This window comes from Homo sapiens, chromosome 6 (genome assembly GCF_000001405.40).
Source record: "Homo sapiens chromosome 6, GRCh38.p14 Primary Assembly".
In the NCBI taxonomy this organism is placed as follows: domain Eukaryota; kingdom Metazoa; phylum Chordata; class Mammalia; order Primates; family Hominidae; genus Homo; species Homo sapiens.
Window position 1 is genome coordinate 96,365,458 of NC_000006.12, and position 14,660 is coordinate 96,380,117.

At 35.7% G+C, this 14,660-nt stretch overlaps 1 long non-coding RNA gene across 1 annotated transcript in view; it reads right to left on the reverse strand.

Moving 5' to 3' along the window:
* The window catches only part of UFL1-AS1 (UFL1 antisense RNA 1), a 321,372-nt gene that overhangs the window by 165,115 nt on the left and 141,597 nt on the right, over window positions 1-14,660 (reverse strand). The window contains exon 2 of the long non-coding RNA XR_007059687.1: window positions 3,924-4,023. This is a non-coding gene — a long non-coding RNA (UFL1 antisense RNA 1). The remainder of the gene's footprint in view (window positions 1-3,923; window positions 4,024-14,660) is intronic.

Consider the following 14,660-nt stretch of genomic DNA (forward strand, 5'->3'; position numbering starts at 1 on the left):
ATGGGACCCATATCTTATACTATCCACAAAATTTAACTCAAAATGAATTAAAGACTTAAATCTCAGACCTGAAATCATAAAATTCCTAGAAGGAAATACAGATGGTCCATGACTTACCATGATTTTTTAAATTGGTGACGTGTTAAATGCATTTCCAACGTACACTATTTTCAACTTATGATGGGTTTATTGGATTATAGTCCCATTGTAAGTCAAGGAGCATCTGTATAGGAAAAAAGCTTCTTGACATTGGTCTTGGCAAGGATTTTTTTCAATATGACCACAAAAGCACAAACAACAAAAAATAAACAGGTAAAAATAAACAAAACTAACTAAAAGTAAATAAGCAAAAATAAATGAGTGGGACTATATAAAAAGATCCAGCACAGAAAAGGTAGCAATCAACAAAAATGAAAGGCAACTAATGGAATGGGAGACAATATTTACAAACCATGTATCTGATAATGGGTTAAGATACAAAAATGTATAAGAAAGTTATACAACTTAATAGCAAAAAATAATAATAGCCATATTTTTAAAAATGGACAAAGGATTGGAATAGACTTTATTTTCAAAGAAGATATATTAATACAACTGGTCAACAGGTATATGAAAATGTTCTCAACAACACTAATTATCAGGGAAATGCAAATCAAAAGCACAATGATATATTACCTCATACCTCTTGGAATAGCTATTACAAAAAAGACAAGAAATGTGTTGGCAGGAGTATGGGAACCCTAGTACATTGTTAGAAGGAATGTGAACTGGTTTAGCCCTTATGGAAAACAGTATGGTGTTTTCTCAAAAAATCAGATAGAACTACCATATGATCCAGAAATTTCACTTCTGGATACACATCCAAAGGAAATAAAATCAGTATCTCAAACAGATATCTGCACTCCCAGGTTCATTGCAACATTACTCACAAAAGCCAAGATATGGAATCAACCAAAGTGTCTGCCAATGGATTAATAGATTATTTAAATATGGTAAATATACATAATGGACTATTATTTAGCCATAAAAAAGAAAGAAATCCTGCTATTTGAAACAACATCGATGAACCTGGAGGACATTGTGCTTAATGAAATAAGTCACCCAAAAAAGACAAATACTTTATAAATCCACATATGTGGTATCTAAACAATTTGAATCCATGGAAGTGGAATGGTGGTTGCCAAGGTTGGGGGATGGATAGATGTTAATCAAAGTATACAAACTTTCAGTGATAAGATGAATAAGTTCTGAAGGTGTAATGTATAGTATGCTGACTGTAGTTAAAAATACTCTATTATGGACTTGAAATTTCCTAAGAGAATAGATCTTTAACTGTTTTCACCACACATGAACACACACACAACACAAATGGTAATGTGAGGTGTTGGACGTGTTAATTATGTTGATTGTGGTAATCATTTCACAATGTATACATAAATCATCACATTGTATCCCTTAAATATACCCAAAGTTTATTTGTCAAAAAGGAAAACAATGGGTACATATGACTTTGTGGAAAATGAGAATTATTTCTATTCATTTAATATGGAAACATTTATCTGCTTTGATAATTTCTATTACCAGTCTTGTCCCAATACTATTTGAGTTTTCGGCTCCTGTTCCAATCTGTGCTAAGAAGCTCAGGCTATGGAGACTTGCTGTATTACACAAATTAAATTCAGGAAGATAGGAGGTCTAAGCCGCTTGGCATCCAGTTACTAAGCAGTTATGAAAGCTCTTGATTGGCCAAGAGAATATGAATAGAAAGGAAACTAGATTTTTTGTTTGTGTCAGGAAATGTTGGTCCCAGTTTTGGCTTTGCCACAGGCTAATTATATGATCTTCAATTAATCACTTACTCTTGGGCATTAAGTTTGGAGCTTGTTTGTTTCCTTGGTGGTGGTGGTGGTTTAATTTGTAAAATAAATAAGCTGGGGCATATTGACTCTTTAGTTTCTCTCAGCTCTACAATTTTTCTTTTGTTTTTGTTTTTGTTTTGTTTTTCTTTCTTTTTTTTTTTTTTAATTGAGACGGAGTCTCGCTCTGTCACCCAAGCTGGAGTGCAGTGGTGCGATCTCAGCTTACTGCAACCTTTGCCTCCCGGGTTCAAGCTATTCTCCTGCCTCAGCCTCCTGAGTAGCTGGGACTACAGGCGCACGCTATCACGCCTAGCTAATTTTTCTATTTTTAGGAGAGACGGGGTTTCACCATGTTGGCCAGGATGATCTTGACCTCGTGACCTGACCACCTCGGCCTCCCAAAGTGCTGGGATTACAGGCGTGAACCACCCGCGCCCGGCCAGCTCTACAATTTTTAAATGATTGAGTCTCCTTTGCTTTTTCCTATGTTCCATGCACATTTGTAATTTCCAGATCCAGAAGTGATAAGCACACAATATATGTGAACCTGATCAACTAGGGCTGCTACAAATGAGAGAAAAATAATGCTTGCTATATGTTGCCTCTCCCACCAAGCCTAGGCAGCGTATTTTGAATGATGTTAAACAGGATTTTTTCACTGAGATGTAGACTGGGGCAGCGCGCAGTGGTTCACGCTTGTAATCCCAGAATTTAGGGAGGCCAAGGCGGGTGGATCACTTGAGGCCAGGAGTTCAAGACCAGCCTGACCAACATGGCGAAACTCCATCTCTACTAAAAATACAAAAATTAGCCGGGTGTGATGGTGCATGCCTGTAATCCCAGCTACTCAGGAGGCTGAAGCACATGAATCGCTTAAACCTGGGAGGCGGAGATTGCTGTGAGCTGAGATCGCACCACTGCACTCCAGCCTGGGCAACAGAGCAAGGCTCTGTCTCAAAAAAGAAAAGAGAGAGAGAGATGTAGACTGGTTCAAATTCTCCATGTCATCAACCTTTTAGCACTTCCTTGGGGCTCTGTTCCACTGTCACTGTTGAGCAATTTTTTGGATAGTAGGATAAAGTTTCCTTTGCTCAATTTCCTCCTATTTCTTTTCATTATTCTCTTTTGGATCAGACAGCATTCTCCTTCCCATCTTGGTGCTTACGATCTTCAAATATTTTGTAGTAATGTGCCCTGCCCTATTAGCATTCTAAGCTAATTTCAAACCCTTAGAGCTTCATGGAAATTCTGTTGCTTACATTTTTCCAGAGAGGTAGAATGTAAATCAGGTTATTAATATTTCAAATCTAGCTTCATGATACCACATTTAAAGTTCCATTTTTTGTTTTAAATAGAATAAATCCCCTCACATATTCCATTTCTAAATGGCAAAAATGCTAAGAAAAAAGAAAAGTCATACCTCCTGCTGTGTCATTTCACTGCAGAATGGAAAGGAATTGTCACCTGAAAAGTTCAGTTAGCTGCTCAGAAAATCTAACCCAAATTACATTTTTCTTTTTATTTCACATTATGCATATTCTAATTTCACCTTCACTATGAACTGTGCTTATTTTTATGTTCCCTGAAATATAACTTTCCTTGTTATTTAATTTGAGTACATTCTTCTCTTTTTTCCTAAGTACTTAGCTATTCACTTTCTAAGGTATTTCATTTAGTTGTATTCATTTTATAAACTCTGTCCATTTATTTGCATAAGATTCATTTTTTTCTCTCATTCCTGTGAAGGACTAATGATAGCTATCTGTCATCAGCAAATTTTATGAATCTATATCTTACCTGTTTTATTTTTCAAGGAGATAATAATTCTCGGTATTACTATAGCATCTTTCATTTTATAACTCTCAGTGCTTCAAAAATTATCCAATTGGTATTTATATAGTAGCTACTGGAAAAAGTAAATGGTGGTACACATTTTATAAATATTTAGCTATTGGGATTATAACCAATTCTATCAAGTAATTGAAGGTAAATTACTCTCCTTTCTTGGAATGGTTAATCTGGTTTCAGCATGGCCCATCCATGACACAGTCATGAGTATCTTACCATTTGGGCTTCTTCTGCTGTATCTGTGTGCCAGGGATCTTCAAATAGGTATATGTTTCAGTCGGCCCCTTTTCAGGCCAGAGGTGGTTTCTGAGAGTACCTGGAACATACAATATAATAAATATTAATTTCCCACCTATTCTGAGTAGAGACTAAAATGCATACTGTCTCTTAGGACTGATCATTTTTGGTAGAATTGTACAAATCATATGCAACTTAAAAGGTCATGTGATAAGGGTGAATTTCTCATGCTGTGCTACTGTATATGATAATGAGTGTTGCTCATTCTGTTCGTGTTCAATCCAGTGGGGGAACAAAAAATGTACACAAATGATTAAAATCCAGTGGGAGAGTTGGTTCTAAAGGTGTGAGTAGAGTGCAAAGTAAATCACTACAGATAAAATCATAAATTGCACCTTGGAAACTCAAGAATATTTCCAAAAGAAGCTAAGATTTGAGCATTGAAGTTTGCATTCCAGAGAGAGAGAACAGTATGAGTAAAATCAGTTCTGAACAACCGAAGTATACCATCTGAGTAAAGTCAAGGATGGTTTATAGCAAGAAAATGAAAGCCTCCTAAGCTAGTGACTATAAGCATTTTAATTATACATATGATTTTGAATCAAAGAAAAATTTAAACATCTAGAACACACAAAAAAAGTGACAACTGTAGAATTTTCAAAACTTCTGTTATTCATAAGTGAAATTTCCTTCCCCATGTTTCTCTTTTCTATTCCATTGCCAATTAATTCAGGCTCTCATCATCCTTATTTCAAATACCCAGGTAAATATTCTAGTTAAGTCAGTTTGAGAGAAGTGACTCTCTCCTTAATTTTTTCAGCTGTTCAAGGCCCAGAAAAATGAGCGGTACTGTTATGTGAAGAGTATTTGAGCGAGAGTAGTTTCTTTGAAAATGGAATGGCTAGGAAATGTATATGTCAGACTGACATGTTCCTTAGAAGGATAGTAGCAGATGATGACCATTGAAATTTGTACGTGGATGAAAATATGAAAGACTGTTTTTCCATTAATCGTTGCTGTGTAACAAGCCACCTCAAACTTAGTGACGTAAAACAACCATTTGTTATGTTCACATCTTCTATGAGTCAGAAATTCAGGTAGGATGCCATAGGAACAGCTTCTTTCTATTACATTATGTTTGAAGTCTCAGCTGGGAAGACGTGGTGCCTGAGAATAATGCAATGACTAGGGGCTGGAATTATCTGAAGGCTTTTCATTCACGTGACTTGCAGTTGATGCTGGCTATGGGCTGGGACTTCAGCTAGGTCTGCCAGTCACAATACCTACACATGACCTCTCCATGTGGCTACTTGAGCTTTCTCACTTACTATTTTAATAAAAAAAAATATTTAAAGGAAAATGAACATGAGTAAACGTTTATATCATTTAGCATATAGGAAAGAGAAAAGGTTAATATGATAATTTTTTTAAGATTCTTAAAAATTAGTGAGAAAGTGATGAACATCAAATAGAAATTAAAGTGCATTAAGAAAACTAAAATTACAAATAGCTAACAAGCACATGAAAAAATATTAATTTCCCAATCACATAAAGAAATGCAAGTAAAATTAAAAATAAGATAGCTTTTTTTCACCTTATCAGATTGGCAAAGATGACATTTTGGAGGATACCTTCAGTTGTCAAGAGTGTGAAGAAAAGGAAATTCAAAGTACTGGTAGTGAGAGAGCGAACTTACATAAATTTTTTGGAGGACAGTCTGGAAAATGCATAATAATTTAAATTTTGCATATGCTTTATCTATGCTTTATGAGAACATTTTAATTTCTAGGAATTTATCTTCAGGAAATTTTTAAACAGTACAAAGATGCATATAAAATGTCATTCAAAATAGCATGGTTTATAATTAATAGCAAAAAATTACATATAGTTACATATTAATTATGAATTAGGGCATAGTTTATAATTAATAGTAAAAAATTACAAATGACCTATCTTACAAAAAAATAAGAATTGGTTAAATGGAAATGAGAATTGTAATAAATACAGTCATTAAAATAATTATGTAATTTAGTTTTATTGACATAATAAGATGTCCAAGATATGATAATAATGGACCAGGGAAAACAAGCATACAAAACATCATGAACTATATTATTTTTATTTTATTTATTTATTTATTTATTTATTTATTTGAGACCGGGTCTCACTCTATTGCCGAGGCTGGATTGCAGTGGTGCAATTACAGCTCACAGCAGCCTCAAGCTATCCTGGGCTCAAGTGATCCTCCCACTTCTGCCTCCTGAGTAGCTGTGACAACAGGGATGTGCCACCATGATCAGCTAATTTTTGTATTTTCTGTAGAGATGGAGTTTTGCCATGTTGGCCTCAAACTCCCAGGCTTAAGCAATCCACCCTCTCCAGCCTCTCAAAGTGCTGGGATTATAGGCATGAACCACCACACCCAATCTTAATTTTTGTTAATTTTTTAATAGAAAAAGGTGCCTATGTTTAAATGCATAAAAACTAAAATATCCAGAATAAGAGCTTCAACCAAGAAATACATATTTGAGAAAATTTCTACATTTAAGTGTGATAAATAAAGAAAGGCAGACATTTATTCATTTGTTGAATGCTTGCTTGTTGCAGATAATTTTTCTGGGTGCTAGAAATAGGAAATGAAGAAAGCAGATAGAGCCATGACTTGAAAAGCAGAGTGTGGCTGTGACCACACAGGATCTCCTCTCTAACCCTTCAAAAATAATGAATCTTTCCAGAATTTTTTTTTTTTGCTCTTCTCTGAGAATTCAGAAAATTGGCAGGGGAGGAAATGGAGAAGGATTAAGGAATGGTAGATAAGTTCATTACATATTGAAAACTAGGAACAGAAGATATTGGCTATAGAGCTAATAGTCCCTGGGACTCAAAGGAATTTTTTTTCATGTTTCTGTGAAAAGAGGCTATGAAAAAAAATAGAGTTTGTGTTGACAGAGGGTGAAAAAGGAAATTTAAAAAGGATTTTAAGAAGGATTGTTGGTGATTTTGTGTGCCTTTTACAAAGTACACTAGTAAATGAAGTAAAGGATTTGTATTTATTTGAAATTATTTGTTTCTACTGCCTGGTTTATAAGCACTAGAATGGAGGGAGTGCAAAAGAGGAAATTTCAACCTAGTCAGGAAGCAGATGAAGCCTCACTGAGATTATGGTGTCTAAACTCAGATTTAGAGATAAGTATAGAGAAAAGAGCAGAGATCCCAGAGAGAAGGAACAGCATTTTAAATACCCAGAGAGAAAGTCTCTAAAGTACCTTAAATCAAATCAAATAAATCTAGTCTGTTGAAAGAAGCTGTGGTTCAGGAAGTGAACAGGACATTATACATACCTTAGACACATGGATTTTAATACACTGTGTGAATTAGACTTTGGGCCATAAGGCCCAGGCCTGGTAAAGGACTTGGAACTGAGCTTTCTGGAAAAGAAAAACTTAGAGCTAGACAAGTATTTTTCCATCTTTGCATAGAGACCAAACAAAGAGATAGTCTGTGTTCATGAACTGGAAAACTTAATATTGCTAAGATGTCAGTTCTTCCCAATTTGATATATAGATTTAATGCAATCTCAATAAAAATTCCATCAAGCTATTTTGTAAATACTAACAAATTGATTCAAAAGTTTATATAGCAAGGCAAAAGACCTAGAAGAGCTAATATAATACTGAAGAAGCACAAAAAAATTGTAGTGTTCACACTTCACTGTCTCAAGATTTACTAAAATCTATGATGATCAAGATATGGTATTACCTAAAGAATGGACACATAGATCAATGGAACAGAGAGTCCATAAACAGACCCACACAAATATAGTAAATTAATTTTTGACAAAGATAAAAAAGGAACTGAATGGAGAAAGAATAGTATTTTTCAACAAATGGCTGAAACATTTGAACACCCATATGCAAAACAATAAATTCAGATGCAAGCCTTATACTTTTTACAAAAATTAACTAAAAACAGATTATAAATGTAAACGTAAAATGCAAACTGGAACACTTCTTGAAGAAAACAGGAGAAAATCTACATAACCTTTGGTTTAGCGGTAAGTTTTTAATTGGACACTGAAAGCATGATCCATGAAAGGAAAAAATTGATAAATTGGACTTCACAAAAATGTAAAAATGTTTTTAGCTTAAAAGAACCAAATTGCAGAGTGAAAAGATGTCACAGTCTGTTCAGGCTGCTATAACAAAATACCAGAAACTGAGTAGCTTATAAACAACACAAATTTATTTCTTACAGTTCTGAAGGCTGGGAAGCCCAAGGTCAAGGTGCCAGCAAATTTGGGTCTGGTGAAGATCTTCCTCCTCATAGATGGTGACTTCTTGCTATGTCCTCACATGATGGGAAGGGCTAGATAGCTCTCTGCGTTCTCTTATATAACAGCACAAATAGCATTTATGAGGGCCCTTAAGATCTGTAAGATCTTACAAAGATCATCTCTCAAAGGCCTTGGCTCTTAATACTGTCAGCTTGGGAGTTAGGATCTAAATAAATGAACTCTGAGGGGATACAAATATCCATACAGAAGCAAAATACAATCCAAGAAATTGGAGAAAATATCTGCAAATCATATATTTGGTAAAGGATATCTAGAATACACAAAGATTTTCTACAACTCAACAACAAAAAACCAAAAGGATATTTTTAAATAGGTAAAGGATTTGAATAGACATTTCTCCAAAGAAGACATACACAAGACCAATTCACCAATAAGTGCATGAAAAGATATTTAACATCAGCAATCATTAGAGAAATGCCAATTGAAGCCACAGTGAGATATAAACACATACCCATTAGGATGGTTGTTATGAAATAAATTCCCAGAAAATTGGTGAGGATGGAGAGAATCTGGAACCTTTCTGCACAGTTGGCAGAAAAGCAAAATGGTGCCGCCACTATGAAAAACAGTATGGAAGTTCCTGCTGGGTGTGGTGGCTCAGGTCTGTAATCCCAGCACTTTGGGAGGCCAAGGCGGTGGATCACGAGGTCAGGAGTTTGAGTCCAGCCTGGCCAACATGGTGAAACCTCATCGCTACTAAAAATAAAAAAAAGAAAAATTAGCCAAGCATGGAGGTGCATGCCTATAGTCCCAGCTACTCGGGAGGCTGAGGCAAGAAATTGCTTGAACCCGGGAGGTGGAGGTTAGAAGTTAGCTGTGCCACTGCACTCCAGCCTGGGCAACGGAGTGAGACTCTGTCTCAACAACAACAACAACAACAACAAAACAAAAACAAAAGAAGAAGAAGAAAAGAAAAAGAAATGAAAAACAGTATGGAAGTTCCTCAAAATATTAAAAATAGAACTAACATATGATCCAACAGTTCAACCTCTGGGTATGTTCCTAGTGGTATTATTCACAATAACTAAAGAGTGTAAACAACCCAATTGTTTATTGATGGATAAACAAATTACTGGAAAGAAAAATGGATAAACAAATTATTTTACAAACATGAACAGTCTTATCACACAATCCAGCAATTGCTCTCCTAAGGTACTTACTCAACTGATTTTAAAACTATATACACATGGAGACTGTAAAAGCTACAACCTCTGATTTAGAGACAGAAACCTTGCCTGGGCCATGAGTAGAAAGAATAATTCTCAGCAAAACAGGATCCAAGCCTTTATCTTGCATGAGGGTGCAACCCAACTTCACAATATCCATACGGTTCCGAAGCCTTGAACACGAAGCTAGTATTAAACATAGTCGCAAACTGGTGACCCAATAGGGTCCTGGTAACATTGAAATTGCAACACAGGGATTTTCAAAATCCAAGGAATGTCCAGGTCTTTGGGGAAAAATCTCCCACTGGAGACAAGCACAGCAAAAGCCAGAATGAGATACTTCATACTAAGGAAACAGAGATCAAAGAGATTCAAAAGACCTTTTAAAATAAGTAGGTTTAAAATATTTAGAGAGATCAAGGAAGCAAGAGAATCCATCAAGAGTAAGGATTTTATGAGGGAAAAAAACTCATGTATTTGAAAAAGAACCAAATGGAGATTCCTGAAATAAAAATAGTCACTGAAATTAAAAAAATAATAATAACAGATAAGTTAAACAACAGGCTACTGAAAGATCAAACGAGATGAGAACAGAAAATTCTGCATTAATCTAACAAAAGAGATGATGGCCTGAATAGTGCAGTGGCAATGAGAGTAGAAAGAAGTGGAGAAATTTAAGTATTTAGAAAATAGAATCAACAAATTATTGAAGGAAAATACTTAATCCTCCCCAAAATTCATTCATGACTTAGAAGAGAGGCACTGTGGCTATGGTCTGAGGTGTTGCAGTAGCTTCTTCACAATACCTGGCACATGGTGTTGAATGCTGCTGTCATTTCATTTGTTTTGTGTTGTTGTTATCATTAAAGTTGATCAGCAACTGCTGAAAACTAAAGAAGGAGATGGAGAGTCTCCTAATATATTTAGGGAGCCTAGACCCTATCTTTTGTTGCATCGCATCGTCAAAATATTTCACAGAATGGCTTAGCAGAGAGCTGCTGTTTCTGCCACATTGCACAAAAATTGACTGAAATATGAAATAAATCAGATAGCTCAGAAAACACACATCATTGTATGCAATAATGCACCAAATGATAAAGGAAGCAACCCAAATCAGTATTTGGAGAGACAGAATTATTAAATCAATGATGCTGGCACAGCAGCAGCAGCAGCAACAGCAACAACATACTATTACCTCACAATGCTGAAACAATTAGGTTAGGAAGGCATATGGAAAAAGATTTGTCACAGAATTAGAGAGATGCATCTTTAAAGGTTTCTTTTAAAAAATATGTAAATTTGTTTTTGTGGACAAATTCTCATGGAATAAATTTTTTTATGAGAATATGCAATGCTCAAAAATGTTCAGTAAAATAAGCACACTCTTACACTGCTGGTGGAAGGCTAATATGTACAGTTTAAAAACATTATCAGCAAGTTTTAAGCAGCCTAAGAATATTTGTACATTTTAATGTAATAATTCGACCTCTAAGAATGTACTGTAAGAAAATTGTAGAAATGAAGAAAGCTATGCATTGAAAATGTGGTTTATAAGCGAAAAGATTGGATACAATCTAAACATTTAATCAACAGGTAGTGGTTGTAATAGATGGTCTGGTTATATTGGACTATTACACAGCCATAGAAATCTACTCATAAGTAATTTTTAATTAGTTGTGCACAATTGTTCTCCTTTTGTTCCCCACCTTCCTGATCCGGTACCTTCCATTCCCTTCTCTGACCTGTTTTCTGGCAAGCTGACTAATGCAGGCTGCATCCTATGGTTTCTCTGCCTTCTGGGCTTTCAGTTGGCTTTGGCCTATGAGGGTCACTGGCAGGAGATCAAAGGGTACGAACGGGGAGAGATAGTGGATTTTTTTCCTGATCCCTCTCTGCTGTTGGGCAGCTTCTCCAGCAGAAGCTGTGTCTCTTTAAAGCCACAGTTATGGCCGGGCGCGGTGGCTCACGCCTGTAATCCCAGCATTTTGGGAGGCCGAGGCGGGCGGATCACGAGGTCAGGAGATCGCGACCATCCTGGCTAACACGGTGAAACCCCGTTTCTACTAAAAAATAGAAAAAAATAGCCGAGCGTGGTGGCAGGCGCCTGTAGTCCCAGCTACTCGGGAGGCTGAGGCAGGAGCACGGCATAAACCCGGAAGGCGGAGCTTGCAGTGAGCCGAGGTTATGACATTGGGCCACAGAGCAAGACTCCGTCTCAAAAAAAAAAAAAAAAAAAAAGCCACAGTTGCCATGAAGCTGCCCTTCCTTAGCCACATCAGTTCCTACTGAGCTTCCAAAAAACAATATGTCCTTCTTTTGTCTCTTGGCCCTATAACTTCCTGTGGTTGCTGGCATCGGATGCCCAACAACCCTCATTTGTTCCTGATCTCCAACCACAATTCCATGTGGAATCCTTTCACGAAGTCTCTTCATTTAAACTTTCTTAGGGAATTTCATAACCAGACTGAGATGTGTGTGAATTTTTTAGTTTTAAGACTGCATTGTCTGTATGACCTAGTATCAAAAGATATACAAAATATTGTAGAGAAACAAAGAACATGTAAAGAAAAATTGATTCTGAAAATTATGAATAAGAAAGACATATTCCCTTTATCTATTTCCTACTTTCTAAATATTTTTACAATAAACACGTATTTCTTTATGATAAAGTAGTAACTCTAAAAATTAGGTGAACACATTTTATATATATTTCTCATGTTAAAAAGTACATTAAGTTACCTTTTTTATGATTTCCAACTGATTTTCAGTTATTCAGTGTTCTTTTATAGAAACATACCTAGTTTTTTGTCCACATCAAAATAAACATCTTGCCAGAAATTTTTCTTACCTCTTACTTGCAACCGAGATCTTTCTGTTCTTGAAAGGAGATGATGTGAGACCCAATTTTGTTCCTACTTTTTAATAGAAACTTTAGTATCTTTGTTTTAAAATTTCAACTTTTATAGATATGGGTTTTTCCAGGTTTGTTACATGGGTATATTGCACCCAGGTAGTGAGCTTAGTATCCAATAGGTAGTTTTTCAACCCACACCCCTCTAGCAGGTCCCGGTGTCTGTATTTCCCATGTTTATGTCCATGTGTGCTCAATGTTTAGCTCCCACTTGTAAGTGAGAAAGGCAGTATTTGGTTTTCTGTTCCTGCATTAATTTGCTTAGGATTATGGCCTCTGGCTCCACCTATGTTGCTGCAAAGGACATGATTTTATTCTTTTTAATGGCTATGTAGTATCCCATGGTGTATATGTACCACATTTTCTTTATGCAATCCAACTTTAGTATCTTGCCACTAAAAATATTTTCATCAAGCATAATTGGGGCAAACTTTCCTCTACTTTAATTTTCTTTGTGTGTACAGAGCTCAATTAATGTACTTCTGGCATTGAGAAGATGGCGTGACATTTCTGATTGGAAATGTGAGAAGAACAAAATCTTCCTCACCTTCCTGTTTTCTCTTGATGCCAGCCTCCAACAGAGACCATTAGCCCTCCTTTGTCTTTTCATGCTACAAGTTGTGCCAGAGTCTGTTGAGAGGATACCTGCCCCATGTCCAGAGTTTTCCATAAATGGATGAAATCTTTCTAATTCTGGGATTCTGGTAGCAAGCCCATTCTGCTAATGCATCTAAAGCCACGTTATGCTTCTTCACTTCTGGCAGTGATAAGGATTATATTTTGGCTCATATATTTACTCTTTTGTTTTATGGCTCAAATAATTTAACAATAATGTGAGAAAGAGGGATGATATTTGTTGATGGCCTCCTCAGAAACCCTAATAATTCATGATTCTTTCACAATCATAGGTACACCTGGATAATTTTTACTCAGTAATAGAGCATTCTTGTTAGTTCAAGTTTTGCTATACATAGCCCTAATTTTCGAGGCCAGAGGGCATCATACTATTCTTAAATGGCCCATGGTAATTTCTTGGAGAATGCAGCAGGTCAAACAACAAAGAAAGCAGAGTGAAGATCTTTTGGGGCTCTGGAATGTCTATATATCAGGACCATAAACGCAGTTATTGAGTTATACATAGGACTTCCCTTTCCTCATATCCTTTTAGCTCTAGAATGCCAAAAAATAAAATGGGCAAAATAAGTATCGGGGACTTTTATCACTCTCCTTAAAACTTTATTTTTTACATGTCTCAGTGATGCAGCATTACAAATTAGGCAATGAGACCATTCTAATCTAACAGATATTTCTTCTTAATATTAAGATAGTATATTAGAGGCACTGTTGCATTTCTAGTTTGCTATATCTTAAGTGTTAGCCATTCACATAATTTTGAAGTCTTTTATTAGTAATTCTATTCATTCCACTTGAATAGATCTTCATTTCATGAATCATTGTGCACTCAACTTTTTCTTAAATAAAATAATTTTAATGAAATAATTGTATGTCAGTTTATATTTTATTATCATTAAAGCTATAATTTAATATTATATTCATTGTGTAATCTGTTAATAAAAAATATCATGAAGGTAAGTAATTCATGTCTTTCAGACTCCATGAAAAATTGATATGTTCTGTTGACAATTTGCCAACAGGAGGTCAATTAGCCTGGGACACCCTTCACACCGTATGGTGAATCATGATCATTCCACTTGTTTTAGAAAAAAAAATTAATTACAGTACTTACCATGTGTCAAGCACTGCACTCATTACTCTACCATCTTAGAGTATAAAAGGAAAGATATATGTTAATTGAGTAATCACAGAAATAATTGTTTAATTATAAACTGTGAAAGATATCATAAATAAAAGTATATAATATGTCCAGGGATGGCAGGTAAATGTAGGAAACATTGGTCGATAGTATAATGATCCTTTTGCCCCACAGCTAATAAAAATTTTCAGCCTCTAAAATTGACCTCTTGCATGTAAGTTAAACCACCACATGAACTTACAATATTTATAGACAACTCTTTCTCTAAAATTCATCAAAGGCCAGTAACTTGGAGAAAACTTTTTTTTCAATGTTGCATGCATTGTGACCCAAAAATCAGAATACCTGAACTCCATTCCTGAACTTCCCCGAATTCCAACAGGGGACTTAGGCAAGTAAATTGACCTCTACGGGCTTCCGTGGCTTCGCATGCAAGATGAAGGTGTTGGATCAGGTCACCTCAAAGACTACACTAAGCTAAAGAATCTCTTATTCTATAACCTGAGAGACA